Source organism: Homo sapiens, chromosome 15 (assembly GCF_000001405.40).
Source record: "Homo sapiens chromosome 15, GRCh38.p14 Primary Assembly".
In the NCBI taxonomy this organism is placed as follows: Eukaryota; Metazoa; Chordata; class Mammalia; order Primates; family Hominidae; genus Homo; species Homo sapiens.
In genome coordinates this window covers 98,642,438-98,657,079 of record NC_000015.10, presented here as the reverse complement: position 1 = coordinate 98,657,079, position 14,642 = coordinate 98,642,438, and the positions used below count along the sequence as shown (strand labels likewise).

General features: G+C 46.8%; 1 protein-coding gene and 1 long non-coding RNA gene across 6 annotated transcripts in view, besides 5 other annotated features; one reads left to right on the top strand and one right to left on the bottom strand.

Annotated features, from left to right (window-relative positions):
* Window positions 1-8,541, bottom strand: part of IGF1R (insulin like growth factor 1 receptor) — a 315,992-nt gene extending 307,451 nt beyond the window's left edge. For 4 of the 5 annotated variants that reach the window (NM_000875.5, XM_047432443.1, NM_001291858.2 and 1 more), the window contains exon 1: window positions 7,405-8,541. In NM_000875.5, coding sequence (NP_000866.1) covers window positions 7,405-7,498 — 94 coding nt within the window. In that variant the 5' untranslated portion in view covers window positions 7,499-8,541. Of the gene's footprint in view, window positions 1-6,129; window positions 6,240-7,404 lie in introns of those variants that run through there. The other variant, XM_047432445.1, reaches the window with a different exon arrangement.
* IRAIN (IGF1R antisense imprinted non-protein coding RNA) lies at window positions 6,293-11,217 on the top strand. The gene has a single exon (NR_126453.2). It is a non-coding gene; the product is annotated as an IGF1R antisense imprinted non-protein coding RNA (long non-coding RNA).
* Window positions 8,517-8,786: a silencer, noted in NCBI's record as "silent region_6857". NCBI's record gives its function as "represses an Ori minimal core promoter by ATAC-STARR-seq in GM12878 lymphoblastoid cells {active_cell/tissue: GM12878}" and the evidence as "EXISTENCE:reporter gene assay evidence [ECO:0000049][PMID:35858748]".
* Window positions 9,157-9,216: a silencer, noted in NCBI's record as "silent region_6856". NCBI's record gives its function as "represses an Ori minimal core promoter by ATAC-STARR-seq in GM12878 lymphoblastoid cells {active_cell/tissue: GM12878}" and the evidence as "EXISTENCE:reporter gene assay evidence [ECO:0000049][PMID:35858748]".
* Window positions 9,277-9,746: a silencer, noted in NCBI's record as "silent region_6855". NCBI's record gives its function as "represses an Ori minimal core promoter by ATAC-STARR-seq in GM12878 lymphoblastoid cells {active_cell/tissue: GM12878}" and the evidence as "EXISTENCE:reporter gene assay evidence [ECO:0000049][PMID:35858748]".
* Window positions 9,757-9,806: a silencer, noted in NCBI's record as "silent region_6854". NCBI's record gives its function as "represses an Ori minimal core promoter by ATAC-STARR-seq in GM12878 lymphoblastoid cells {active_cell/tissue: GM12878}" and the evidence as "EXISTENCE:reporter gene assay evidence [ECO:0000049][PMID:35858748]".
* Window positions 9,818-10,439: an enhancer, noted in NCBI's record as "H3K27ac hESC enhancer chr15:99189870-99190491 (GRCh37/hg19 assembly coordinates)". NCBI's record gives its function as "activates a minimal SCP1, AML or CMV promoter by ChIP-STARR-seq in primed H9 embryonic stem cells {active_cell/tissue: H9 hESC(primed)}" and the evidence as "EXISTENCE:reporter gene assay evidence [ECO:0000049][PMID:30033119]".

The following is a 14,642-nucleotide window of genomic DNA, read 5'->3' as shown; positions in this document are numbered from 1 at the left end:
TACAGCAGAGGACAAGCTGAAAGCAATCACAATGTATCAGGAAAAATTTCAAGTTATGCTCTATAAAATATTTATGCTCTAACAACTATCAAAATATATTTGTTCTCCCATGTCAAGAGTAATTTTTAAAGTGGTATTTATTTTTAAACTGACAAATAATTCCAAAGCCAGTTTGAGAAAGCTAGTGCCATGTTAAAAAGAAAATGGTTGAACAAAAGTATACAAAACAGCAACAACAATGTATTTCAAACTCGCAGAATTTGGACGATGGACGGATGGATGGAGATACACAATTCTGAACAAACGGCATTCGTATTATGTAACTCTTACTGAAGTAGAGACCTATGGTATTAAGGGGGCTAAGACTGAGGAGTGAGATAAAACAAAGTTTCAAACTCCTCCCCGCAAGAACTTTCTGGATTAGCAAGACTACTTTCTAAAGTCTTTAAAATATGCAAAAAAACAAAAAAAAAATGTTTTCCAGACTATTACCAGGTGAGCAATTTATTTTTATATATGTATTTTGTGTGTGTGATGGAGTCTCGCTCTGTCACCCAGGCTGGAGTGCAGTGGCATCATCTTGGCTCACTGCAACCTCTGCCTCCTGGGTTTCAGCAATTCTCCTGCCTCAGCCTCTCACGTAGCTGGGATTATAGGCACGGGCCACCACGCCCGGTTAATTCTGGTATTTTTAGTAGAAAGGGGGTGCACCATGTTGGCCAGGCTGGTCTTGAACTTCTGACCTCAAGTGATCTGCCCACCTTGGCCTCCCAAAGTGCTGGGGTTACAGGCAGGAGCCGCTGTGCCCAGCCAGGTGAGCAGTAAGGTAGGCCCAGCTATCGCTGCAGTGTGTGATGGCCCCATCCACAGGTGTGCACATCTTCCCCATGTGACTAGCCAGCCGCCCCACTACTCCAAAGAATGTGAATGCTTCAAGACCACCAACCACCAAGTGAGCTCCATGGACACAAGGCCCAACAACTTATATTGCAATCGTAGGTGTTCATCCCTCACCATAAAAGAAACTACTTTCTGTTGTGGTCCAGTGAAAACAGAAGAGCAATCTATGAGTTTACAAATTCTTGTAGGCTGGGGGCGGTGGCTCGCACCTGTGATCCCAGCCCTCCGGGAGGCCGAGGTGAGTGGATCGCTTGAGTCCAACCTGAGCAACATAGCAAAACCTCGTCTGTACTAAAAATACAAAAAATTAGCCAGGCATGGTGGTGTGTGCCTGTAGTCCCACCTACTTGGGAGGATCACTGGAGCCTGGGAGGTCAAGGCAGAATCAAGCCGTGATCACACCACTGCATTCCAGCCTAGGTGACCAGAGACCCTGTCTCAAAAAAAAAAAAGAAAAAAAAATCTGTAGTCCAGGGCAGGAAAAAGAAAAATTTTAAGCTTGCTTACTAGTTTGTTTCGTTTTATTTTTTTTTTTAATAAACATGGCAGTAACATCTATAGTTTGACGGGTATCTTTAAAAACTTATGGTAAGACATTTTACAGTATCAAATAATTTCTAAACCTAAAGAACTGCATCCAGTAAGTACTCAACATGTATTTACTGTGGAAGAAAAGAGGGAGGGAAAACGACTATTTCTCAGTTCAAGTAAGGAAATATCAGTTTTTCCTTAAGATTTGAAAATAAAACATAAGTAAAGCCGGCATCAGTGGAAAAAAAGGGAGAGAAATCTTCAAAAATGGTATCTGGGACTTTCAAACGAGTAAAATTGACCATTTAAAAACTTAGTCTTCAAAAGTCCAAAAGTCTCAAAATCAAAGGTATTGTTAATACTTTGAGTCAAATAAAACCAAAGCAATTTAACAAAAGAAAACATCATGCCGAGGAAGTATGCTTCTCTTGAGATAACAATCTAACTTGTTTTAAAGATCCTTTGTTTACTAACCATTTTATATTCCAAATATATGTTCCTTCCTCAGAACAAATCAATTCTTTTCCAGACCCTCGGGGATGGGGGTGCAGGCATGAGGGGATGTGTACATATATCAAAGTTTTAATCTTTTCAAATAGTGGAACTCAGTTATGCTTCCCAAATGTCAACAGGTCTCAATGTCCACAAACACTGGGGCTGCTACCCTCCCCCATCCCCACTTAAAGCCACATCACATCTTTACAAATAACTGGAAAACCTCCTCTTGCTAAGCTGATGCCAAACACCATTTTCCAGGAGGGATCAGAGTGCATCACTCATTAGGCACTTTGTTGTCTCTAAAGTGTTCAGAATTTTCCTTCAGAACATCTCAGACTGGAAATCAAGAAACTATATCCGTAACATGTGTGCAACTATTATATATTTAGTACAATTGAGAAGAGCTCATCCCCTGGACTCAGCACCTGTCCTAAGCTGGCTAAGAAAAGCAGTTCAAATCAAGTTCGCCCACAGGCGCAAATACCTCTTCCATGAACTAGGTCTGATTTTTAAATGAGTTTTGAAAACAAATTGGGGAAAATCACAACCTATAAAGAAATGTATCTTGTATGCTTTACAATTAAAAAACAAAAACTTTCAGGATTTGTCTCCTCACTCTTACTCCCTCACGCTTTTAAAAACACCAAGTTATTTACAAATTATAAAATGCCCTGAAATTATGAATGCTTCCTGATTTCTAGAAAGCTAACTAAGCAATATGTAATCCAGAAAACTTCTGAAATAAGTTCCATCTTTCTTACAACTCAAAACATGCTATGCAACGTTCATGTACACACCTGTGACTCCTAATTTTTGGAAAAAGGCAACTACAACACTGCAGTTTGTAAATCACAATTGCCATATCCAATGTTATAAAGAAGACAGTGCCGCCAGTCAAGATGGGTTAACATCACCTGTATGTCACAGTCTACAGTGACATCCCAATATAACGGAAAGCACCAATGAGGCAAAAAAGGTATAGGGTAAAGGCTTCTGATGAACAACACTAGAGTCCTAAGTCTACAGAAATATTTTTAAAAGAACCTTTAAAATGCTAACTACTGTCTACTTGAAAACTGCACCCTATACTGAGTCTGAAAAAAAATCTGAATTTCAAGAAAGGTGGTTTCATGCAAGACTCTGCAGGTTCATGCACTGAGTAGCACAAGGTCAGCTTTCATACAGTAGGTGCACAATAAGTGCAGGCTGGATTCAGTTGCTTCTTACAGCACATTCTTACAAAACAAATGAAACCAGATTTAAAAGGAAACCACCGTCCCTTGAGGGTTCCTCTTGGCAAAAACTCTAAGGCAACAAGTGAAAATGATACAGTTGATTTTCATTACTGCCCTGATCTTGCAACAATAGGAAGGGCAGGAAACATTTTTATTAGTAAACTAAGCCTTAGACAAAGACCAAAAGCAAATGTAAACAACAATTATTCTCTAGGTCTTTTCCTATTGAAAGGCCAGGGTAAATCTGGATAAATGCACACAGTTTCAAAACAAAAATGCCTTTGCCACATTTTAAAACCTTTCGTTCTGTAAGGAATTTTAATTTTATAAAAATCACTGTATACTTGAAACAGTGTATCCTAAAACTACTGCATCCTAAAGATTCTTTCTCCTGCTCAGACCCTGGAACTATGTAAGAAATAAAATAAAACTGCAAAGAAAAGAAACAACAATACTGCATTAAAATGAACTGTTCTGTTCATCCTCAGTCCTTACTACCACTTGTGGTCAATGTGGCATATCAAAAAATGAGTGTTTAAAACATCTTAAAACAGCAATGTCTTTCTTTGTTGGAAAACATAATAAAACTGGAAATACAAACAGCCCTTCAGACTCAGCTCCTAAACTCTATCCTGAAAAAAACCATCATTTCAGATTCAGCTGAGGTTTCTATTGTCAAAAATCTGCCCTCCACCAGCATTTGTGTTTTTTAAATCCAGCTCCTCAATCCCTAACTGAAGCTACATAGAACCAAGATTCTTTTTCTCCTGCTTGCCCATTTCTACTGCGGGATTGAATCCCTGTTGCTAAGCTTCAATTATCAGTTTGTTGTATTGCTGCAACTCACGGATCTGAAAAACTCATAAATGAAAAGAGAGAGAGACATCAGCCTGTCAAATGTATGTAATAATTTTAACGTAATTTAAGGTAGCATAACAAGTTATTTTCAACCTGATCACATTTCTTTAAAAAAAAAAAAAAGGGTTTATTGAGATATAATTCACATACCATTAAAGTCCCCGATTTAAAGTACATAATCCAATGGTTTTAAGTATATTTAGAGCTATGCAGCCATCGCCACAAACTAATTTTAGAACAATTTTCATCACCCCAAAAAGAAACCCTGTGCCCACCAGCAGTCACTCCCCATTCCATCCGCCCCCAGCCCCTGGCAACCACTCATCTACCTTCTGCCTCTATGGATTTGTTTATTCTAGACATTTCACATAAACCGGATCATACGATATGTGGTCTTTTGTGACTGACTTCTTTCACTTTTTGTGATATTTTTAAGCTTCATCTATTCAACCTTAGCATATTTCTTAGAGTTGAACTTTTCTAATCTTTTTCGACAAATCAAACATTATGACCTTTTACATTTCAAATCCTGACACAAACCCCACCCTTCCACAAAACACCATTTGCTTGCTATGTCTCTCCAGAGGATCTAAACTATAATTTGCTGTTTAGGTTCTTTCAGAAGTTCTTTTTCTGGGTTCTCCTTCTGGTAATAAAACACTAACTTCTTTAAACACCAACATTTCACATACCTACATTTCTGTGACAACAGGATGCCTGGGGTAGAAAGATGACTGAATCCTTTTAAGGAGATGGGTACAATAAATTTAAAGTGCATGCTGACTTTTTAAAAACAAAATAGCCCTCAGATTATCTGGCTATCACTCAGAACCTCCGAACCGCCTTCATTTAGATGCTCTGTTCACATTATGGTGATACAAAACAAACACATCCATATGACTGCCTCTGCTTCAGAAACTAAGTTTTCTAAGATAAACAACACTCTTTCTACTGCCATCACACTCAAAGAGGAAACTCTAATCTCTCAATACGCCAGCAAAATACCTGCAACTGAACCAACACCCTGTCTTTATTTCTCCACCAGACAACAGCTGAAAGAACGCCCTCCCTGATAGGGCTCAGCAGCTTATTTCTATCAGAGTTAAGTGGTCTAGCACCTTCCCGGCTAAAAACTGAACGCCCGTTCACAGGCATAGCTTTTAATTCTCCACATTTCAGAGATGGAGGGAGGGGCAGGTACTGAGTCAGTCAAGACTTCAGCAAACCATAATCGAGATTTGGGGTGCCTTCTGACCACCCATCAGGTTTCCAGGAACTAACCACTGTAAAGGGATCCTGGGGGGAAGCTTTGGTATCATGGAGTAAAAACATACATTAAAACACCCCCTCCCTCCTGCCTGTGTTCTCAAAAATCGCCGTCTTGCACAAAGAATATCCTTCAAGAAGAACGCTCCAAAAGAAAAACAGCCTATTTTAAAATGCCCGACTCCTGCGTCGGCGAAGGCCATCCCTGCTGTTTTGAATTTCAGAACATTAAAAACACAAAACTAGAGAAGCTATACAGTTCAACTGCATAACATAACAAAATGGATTATTTCTCCCGTGTCTTCTAAACCGTACTTATCTTTTAAAGATAAAAACCCTCCTTTGTCCCCCCAGCCACCACCTAAACGACTTAGTAAAGGGAGCCGGAAGGCTTTCGCCCAATCGAGTCCGCTGAAAGTTTAGAAAACAAAGAGCAGGAGAGCCCAGATCTGTGGAAGGTCCGGCCCCAGTCCGCGTCCCACTCGGCAGTAAACACGCGAACCACGATCTGCTCTCGTTCCGTCGCGGACTCATTTCTTACCAGACGTTTAAGGATTTGTTTATAGAAACAGCCTTTCTGAATTGCCCCGGTGATGGGGCCATACAACCTCCGCTGCCTCCTCCTTCCCCGCCTCACTCGTGAAGGCTCAGTCGTGATTTTTTCAAAGTTAATCGGCACCACCTGCATACCCTCGGCAACCATTACTCACCAACACGCCCTCACCGTTCCCAGTCCCAGTTCTGCGACATTTAAACTTTTAATCGTGTTCAAATTACCCTACCATCTTGAATGTACCAGTAAGCCACACTTTCAACTTTTTCAGAAGAATAAAACCCCCACCTCCTCCGGCCGTAGACACCGGGGGGAGTTCTCGCTCCCCGCATCCCCGCGCTTCCCTACTAACCCCCACCCGACACCACCAAAACAAAAGCTATCAGATTGCAAAAGACAGCGAATGTGGAGCGACACTGCTTATTAACTACGTACAAAGGAAGTGCGGGGCGGCAGAAGAGAGGGCGACACGACGCCGACCACAACAAAACCAAGGCCAGGGCTCCGCGCTCGCAAAACACAACACCCTCCCCGCGCCGCCGCAGACCCTGGCGCTGAAACCACAGCGTACGACACCTCTCGCCAGGGACGGGCGTCTAGGTGTCCCCGTGAGGCGGCGACTACACCCCGCGCTGCGAGCACGTGTGTCGGAATGCACGTCGGCTCCGACCACACACCCACCAACGCACACTCGGATGCGGCCCTAGTACCCCTCCATCCCCCGGCCCGGGAGAAACTGGGAGACCATCCCAGAGCCCTCTGAACTGGGGACCCAGTGGCGCTCCCCGGAAGAGACAAGCTGAGGAAGACTCCCGGCCTCGCACTTCCCGGGGGGCTGCCCAGAGAGCGCTTCCCCTCACCCCACCGCCCAGCCCCGGGACGCCGGGGGCAGGTAACCCAACGAGGAGCGGGCCAAAGTGACGGGCAAGGCCAGGAACCCGAGGAGCCCGAGGGGCAAAAGCACGTTGGGCGACGGGAGGCAGCGACGGGCGCTTGGAGACGTGTCCTGGGGCTTCGGGGCCTCTCCGCAGGGCACCTCCCCCCTCGAGGGCAACTCGCACCCCGCGGGCCGGGCGGCTGCCCGCTCCCCACTGCCCGGTCAGCCCCAGCAGCGGAGACGCGGTGCGGCCCAGGGTGCTGTCGCTGCTGCCTGCGCGCCGCAGGGGATCAGCGCTGTGTGCGGAGAGGCTCTTGCGCATGGAAGGGGCGAGGTGCGGGTCGCGGGGCCCGGGAACCGCGGAGCCCGCCCCGGCACCAACTTCCCTACCGAGTCCTCGCGCCTAGCCGGGAAACACGGCTGGGCTGTCAGGACGGAGAAAGAGAAAAGCCCTTCCCGCGCGGGGATGCGCGGAGCCAGGGCCCGCGGGGCTCCAGACGAACGAGCCCGGGTCCCGGGTCCGCTGCAGCCTCCCTCCCGGCAGAGCCGCCCTGCGCCCCACCCCGCCGCTCCCGAGCCCGGGGGCCCGACAGCTGCGACGGTGGCAACTCGGGTTTCGCAAACAGGGCGCAGCCCCTCGGAGGAAAAGTTCCCGCAGTGGCCGCGGGCGGCGGGCACATACTCACTTTCTCCACTCGTCGGCCAGAGCGAGAGCGCGGCGGAGAGAAACAGGAGCCCCCACAGCGAGGTCGGGGACCCTCCTCCGGAGCCAGACTTCATTCCTTTTATTTGGGATGAAATTCCCCTTTCTCAAAAAAAAAAAAAAAAAAAAAAAAGAAAAGAAAAGAAAAAAAGGAAATGAAAGGAAACAAGTCTCAAACTCAGTCTTCGCTCCCCCTCCAAAAACAAGGGCGAAGGAAACAATACTCCGAAGGCGGCGCCGCCGGGGCCCTCCGGGTGCGCGGACGGGGCGGGCGGCGCGGGGCGGCCCCTCAGCGCCGGCAGCAGCGGCCCAGGGCTCGGCGGAGTCGGGAACCCGAGGCGCGCCGGGGCGGGCTGTCGGCGTCGTCGGCCTCCATTTTCAAACCCGGAGAGGCAGGAAGGGGGGAAAACTGCAAAGAAAGGGGGCAAAGCCCAAATCTGCCTAGGCGAGGAAAAACAAGCCCGGCCCTGGCCGCGCGGGAGGCGGCCGGACGCCCGAGCTTCCGCCGCGGGAGGGCGCGACGCAGTTCGCAAGATCGCCCCGAAGTCCGGGTCACAGGCGAGGCCGGCGAGGGGCAGAAACGCGGAGTCAAAATGAATGAGCGGCTCCCCCTCCTCCTCCTCCTCCTGGCTCCGCTCGCCGCCGCCTCCTCCCTCAGCGCCGCCGCCGCCGCGGCGAGCTCCTTCCCAAATCCAGGACACACACAAAGCGGCGGGCCGGCCGCGCCGCGCTCAGCACTCCCGCCGCGCCGCCCGGCTCTGCGCCGCCGCCCGCCCCGCGCCGGCCCCCGCCCGGCCCCCGCCCGCCGCCGCCTGCTCTGCGCGGGGGCTCCGGCTCGCTGAAGGTCACAGCCGAGGCGAGGCGCGCCGTGGAGCTGCCCCCGCGCGGGAGGGGCGTGGAGGGCGCGGGGGGATCCGGGGAGCGGGGCCGAGGGTCTGCGAGCGCCGGCCGTGGGCAGGCTCGCTGGCGGCGTCCCTCTCGCTCTCCCGCCTCTCTCGAGTTCGCCTGGTGCGCTCGCTCCTCCTCGGGTTTTTTCCCTTTTTTTTTCCGCTCAGCGGAGTTAATGCTGGTAAACAAGAGCCCCAGCCTCGCCGCGCCGCCGCCGCCGCTGCCACACACTGGGGGCTCGCGCGCGCGCGCGCGCCCTGGCCCGCGCACACGCGCCCGCTCGCACACTCGAGCGGCCACCGCCGCAGCAGCGGCGCGCCGAGGGCCCGGCCCAGGCCGGCGCGCGCAAAAAACCGGAGCCCGGTTCCCCAAGACGTGCGGAGCGGAGCCCGGGCGTGGGGCGCGAGACTGCGAGGCGCCGCCCCCATCTCCCGCCCCACCGCCTCCCGCGCGCACACAGAGACACGCGCGCGTGCCCACCCGCTCCCGCCCCCACCGCACTGCGCCGGCCACCCCGCACGCGCCCTCCCCTCCCGCCCGACTCCAAAAACAATGCCCCCGCCGCCGGTCCGGTCTCGGCGGGGCAGGGGTGGGTAGCCAGGGAAAGGCTAGGCAGGGGAGGGGTGGGCAGGAGAGGGGAGGGGTGGGCGGGGAGTGCGGGGCTGGGAGAGGTTCATTGAAAACAACAACAGCGCGGCTGGAAAGCGCGTTTCCCCGGTTCTTGAAAAGCTTCATTGTTTCTTGCAGCTGTTGCAAAATAAATAAATGCGTGCATGCGGCATTTTTTTCGCTGCGTACTGGAAAGCCCGAACGTGGCGGAAGGGGCGCACCTGGGAGAAAGGGGACCCCCCCCCCAGGCTACTACGCCGGGCACTTTCACGCCAGGCTGGGGTGCCCGCGGCGTTGCGACCGTGGAGCCCGGAGTTTGGGGGCTCAGGGGGAGCGGAGGGGGAAGGGCGCGGCCCGTGTGGCTCGGCCCAGAGTGGCTCGAGGAGAGAGGACCCCGCCGCCCCTCGCGGGCCCCGCGCCCCGGAAGGGGGGCCCAGACAGGCAGCGCCGCGTGCCCCGGGCGCGTCCCCGCGGCGGCCGCCAGAGGGCGCGGCGGGCGCTGGGGAGGGCAGCCCGCGGAGAGTCGCCTCCCTCCCTCCGGGGGAGGAAATGTGGGGGCCCGGGCTGGGGGCCGACTCGGCTGGGTCGCGCTGGCGTGGCCTCCCGGACCAGCCGCCCGCCCTGAGCGCTCTCCGCGGCCTCGCGCAGCTCAGGGCTCCACCACGTGGGCGGCTGCGGGGAGCGGCCGGGGCGCGTGCACGCTGCGGGTCTCCGAAGCTCGGGGGGCGTGTCCGGGTCCCGGGGCGCCGAGGAGGGGGTGGAGGCTGGGGCCGGGAAGCCTCCCTTGGCCGCGGTCCCGACCCGGGAACACGCCGCATGCACTCGGGATCAGCGGCTACTGCGGAAACCCACCCGCACCTGTCTCGGGTCCTCCCAGGCACGTTCCTCTTGCTTCGTTTGCTACGTAAGTGACTGGAAACCAGTACCGACCCTAAGTCTCCGCGGTTGTTTTCTTGAATGTGCAGGAGGAGAGGTTTCCCCAAAGCGAGACTCCCCTAGGACTGCCATCTAATGAATAAATGCTGCGGAGACCAGGTCCTCAAAGAGGGAAACAGCCCAGCAGTGGCAGGAGAGAGGAGTTTGAAATACGTGGACTTTTACAAACAGTGATTGGACCATGTGTCGCCCTTAATGTGGTCCGGTTTCATGACTCAGGCTAATTGATGCCAGTAATAAATTTTTTTAAGATAGCTAATAAAAGAGTTGTGAATTGTCGAGATAAGAAGTGGTTGTCTCAAACAATCGGGTAGGATGGTAGAAGGGACCTGATGTAAAGGAAGGTAGTAGGTTTCTTTTACTCTCTAATTCTAAAATACTTCTGCATTAGAACGTGTATCCATCGTTCGTAAATAATTTTTTAAGAGCTGAAAACAAGTCAAAAGCTATCATAACGGAAACTTAGCCCTTTTTTTCTAAAGTTGTTTCCTAGATCATTTTCCTCCTTGGAAATTTCTAGCTCAATTCAGAGTCAGTTGTATAGAAAGAAAATAAACCTTGTTTTACCTAAGAAAGTTATTCATATGATGGGATGGTTTTGTTTAACTGAAATTCAGCTTGATTTTTAAATAAAGAGTTTCAGTTTTGGATGTTCCTAGATTTAACAGTGAAATAAATTTATTAGAATCTTAAAATGTATTATTTAAAAATTAGGCACTACACATGAAGAATTAAAGTCCAGTCTACTAATTTTTAAATATTTCTTAAGTTCTCTGCATGAGGTTGGTCTTGATTCCTGCAGATCCACTCTGGAGTTAAATGCAAAGGAATATTGATATATAATTTCATTATACTTGATTTCAGAATTTTTAATACATACTTGTAAGACAAAAATTTAGAGCTGATTTTTAAAAGGCTAGTGCTAATATAAAATCTTCAAATACTACCCAATGTATTTTTAGTATTAGTAATAAATATGCCTGTTTATTTGTCCCCAAGAACATAAAGAGGTCTATAGAATTTTTAAATGTATATAGGTTGTTGTAGGGGTTGTAGGATTTGTTTTTGTGTGTTTTTTTTTTACTAAAATGATTTTTATTTGTGAATTTTTTAAATGTTTGTGTTTTCCTGAAGTAGTAGGAAATCAATCGTATTAAGTTATTTTAAACAGTGAAGTGGGAGATGTATCATTATATAGCTTAATATTTAGGGAAAAAAAAGGAACAAAAATTTAGGTTGTCTTTACGCTCTAACTTGACCACATGGACAAAGGAGGTGATTTGTATTTCTTCAATGATTATATTTTACATACACAAGTCAAACTTATTTTTTCAACCTTGAAATAAAATCATGTAGACAAAAATTAATTGGAGTCTTTGCTTTATACCCACATTGACAATGCACCAAACTTTTTATTTTATACCATTTTACTCAGGTATCTTATAGGTTCTCCCTCTTTTGGAGCAGAAACTGATTGCTTGTTTTCATTTTTTAAAAACGCCGTTTACTTGATAACAGTTTCATCTCAAATTATTCTGCTAAATGTACCAGACTCCCCAAAAAATGTAATGTATATCATATACATCAAGTGCAAACGTGAGAAACAGCACAACAATTGACAAGTATCAAGTAATACAGTATATTGTGATGTATTCGCAGAAAGGAATGTTAGCAGCAAAAGTGAATAAACTACAGCCCCACACAACATGGGCAGATCTTTGAAACACACTGAGTAAAAATATACAAATATCAAAAACGCACACAGCGTAACACCATTTTGATAAAGCTCTTAAAAAGCAAGGAAAACTTTAAAAGTTACAGAAAATTTTTTTTGCTTTAAATAATAAAATAATATTTTTCCTTTGTTTTGCTTTTGTTTTAGCAAAAGAATTAATGAAGGATGTGAATTCCTTTGGAGAGGATGAGAAGCCCATAGGCACATGGGTTTCCATTGTAATTTGGAAATGAGTTCACTCTTGGATTGAGTGACGGATTTACAAATTTCCATTTTATAAGTATGCTTAATAACTAACACATGTTCTACATATTTTTGTATGTATAAAACATTAAAGAAGATAAATAAAAATATGGGAGAGATCCATGAAAGAGATCATTCTGGTTTTCCAATGGGAGTCGTTCAGATTTCGAGCTGTCCGTATAAATAACTCAGAAGCATTAAAGATCTACTAAAATAACACAGTTAATCAAGGTCTGATCCTTAAGATATTTCAGAAGAATGTCCACACATCTAATATCGATGCAATTTAAGACAAAAATCAAAAGACAAAAAATTTAAAAGACCTCACTTCACAGGTAATAAGCTTCATTAAGAGTGCATTATGTCAACTGTTTGACAGTTTCTTATAAGGTAAAACATACAACTAACTTACGATCCAGCAAGTCTAGCCCTAGTTATTTACCCAAAAGAAATGAAAATTCCACAAAAATACTTCTATGGGAATGTCAATAGGTGCTTTGTTCATAATAGCAAAAACTAAAACAACCCAAATGTAAATCAAAAGGAGAATGGATAAACAAATCATGATATATCCATTCAATGCAATACTGCTTAGCAGTAAAAAGGAATGGACTACTAATCCATGCAAAAACATAAATGAGTCTCCAAAGCATAATGTATAAGCCAAAAGAGTACATACTGTATTAGCTCATTTATGTAAAGCTCAAAAACAGGCAAGATTGATCTAGAGCTAGAAATCAGAATCATGGCTGCCCTGGGTGGGTAGAGAGGGAAAGTTTCAAATGACTAGGGAGAGGCATAAAGAACTTTCTTGGGTGATGGCAATGCTCTATATCTTGATGGGGTGTTGGCTATGCTAGTATATGCATTTAGCAGAAACACATCAGACTGTACACTTAAGATGGGTGCACTTCATTCTGCATAATTGTATCTGAATGTTAAATTGTTAAGATTGTATTATAATTTAGATAGTTGCAGCTGTTCTAAAAAAAATGTTAGCACAATGCTTCCCGTTTTTACTATTAGGTGAGTTAGTAGAGATGCTAAACTCCAACATCCTTGCCCACAGCTGTCTACAGATGTGTATACTTTCAGTGTGTATCTGCCTAAGGTCTTTCCTTAGGGGCATTAGCTGTGGAAGGCATCACATGGTCTCCACAGAGCACCCCAAGGGCAGGAAAAATACAAGTGATGCTGTAGCTGATTCCTATCCCCACACAGCCACAAGCAACAAGAGTCTCAGTCTTGTTGAGGATCTGTTTATACTCAACTTGAGAAGATTTTCTATTTTAGCTCTGCATAGATAGCTGGCTCCCAAGGCATAAATGCTACATTTCTCCATGATGCTTTAAAAGCAACGTGGAGGTTTCAGAGAGCATTTGCGCAGAGACAGCTGAGATAATGTCTTCCTGTGACTAACTTTCGGCACCACGTTCAGTAAAACATCAATCGGGGAAGTTCCTGGAAAGCCCAGGCCTGGGCCAAGAGTGATAGGCACCCTGGAGATCTCCGTGGGTCCAAAATGGAAACTGGAGGCTTCTGGGGCTCCACCACTACCCTGAGCATCGTCACGAGCCTGTCCCCGACCTGAGGGTGGGTATGTTCAACTCCCCACATGGTAGTCTGGGAAAATAAACCCGACCAGGATAGCTGTAACGGCTCTGTCTTTTTCACTTGTCATTTGCGGTGGTTAGTCTCTGAGATGGGTGTGCCGTCTTCACTCCTCCATGTAATTAACTTTCAAACATATCAATAGTAAGGATCCCTGTCTGGCAGACAGTACAAAAGATGCTTCTTCGTTGTTGAAATGCATCATAGATGTACATGAAAAGTGGGGTTAAATCAAAATTTCTGTTCCCTCTGATTAATGCCACCAGCTCTGAGATGTTTTATCAGCAGCATGCCAGGAAGAGACAAGCTGCTCCTCTGCCCTACCCCGCCCTACTCTGCAAAGCTGTGTGACTCTGTGCAAGTGGCTTCACCTCTCTCTTTTCTCCTCTATGAAATGATCATGTTGACGTTGACCATTCCGCTCTAAAATATGACTTCTTTTTTTGATTTTTAATTGACAGTGGTACCTTGATATCTCATACTTTGGTTGTACATTTTGTACTTTTGCCTTCTCTGTCAAGTAATTAATAAATCTATAAATTAATACAGGCAACAGCAGCCAGGCTCAGGGAATAAACGCTTCCTAATTTGTTTTATTAATACAGATTTTTCACACATTAGAGGTTTTTTTTCTTTTCTTTTCTTTTTTTTTTTTTTTTTTTTTTTTTTTTTGAGACGATCTCACTCTGTCACCCAGGCTGGAGTGCTGGAGTGCAGTGGTGCAATCTTGGCTCCCACCTCAGCCTCCTGAGTAGCTGGAACTACAGGAGTGTGCCATCACACCCAGCTGTTTGTTTGTTTGTTTTTAATAGAGACAAGGTCTCACTATGTTGCCCCGGTGGGTCTGAAACTCCTGGGCTCAAGCGATCCACCCACCTTGGCATCCTAAAGTGCTGAGATCACAGACATGAGCCACCATGCCCAGCCAGGGTTTCTTAAAGTATAGCATAAAATATTTTTTAGCAGTTTTGAATTTCAATATATTTTCTCCTAAGAATGTGAGTATGGAAAGACAAACAGAAACATCAGCAAGGCAGGGGGAAGTGGTCACAGGTAACCCACAAAAGGGATCCTTCAATTGATCATTGAGAATGTTCCTGCAAAACATTCTCTTTGGGATATTAAGTTCTAGTGGAACCTTATTCTGTAGAATATATTTGCACATTTCTTCAGTACATTTTTAAATGCAACATCATTGT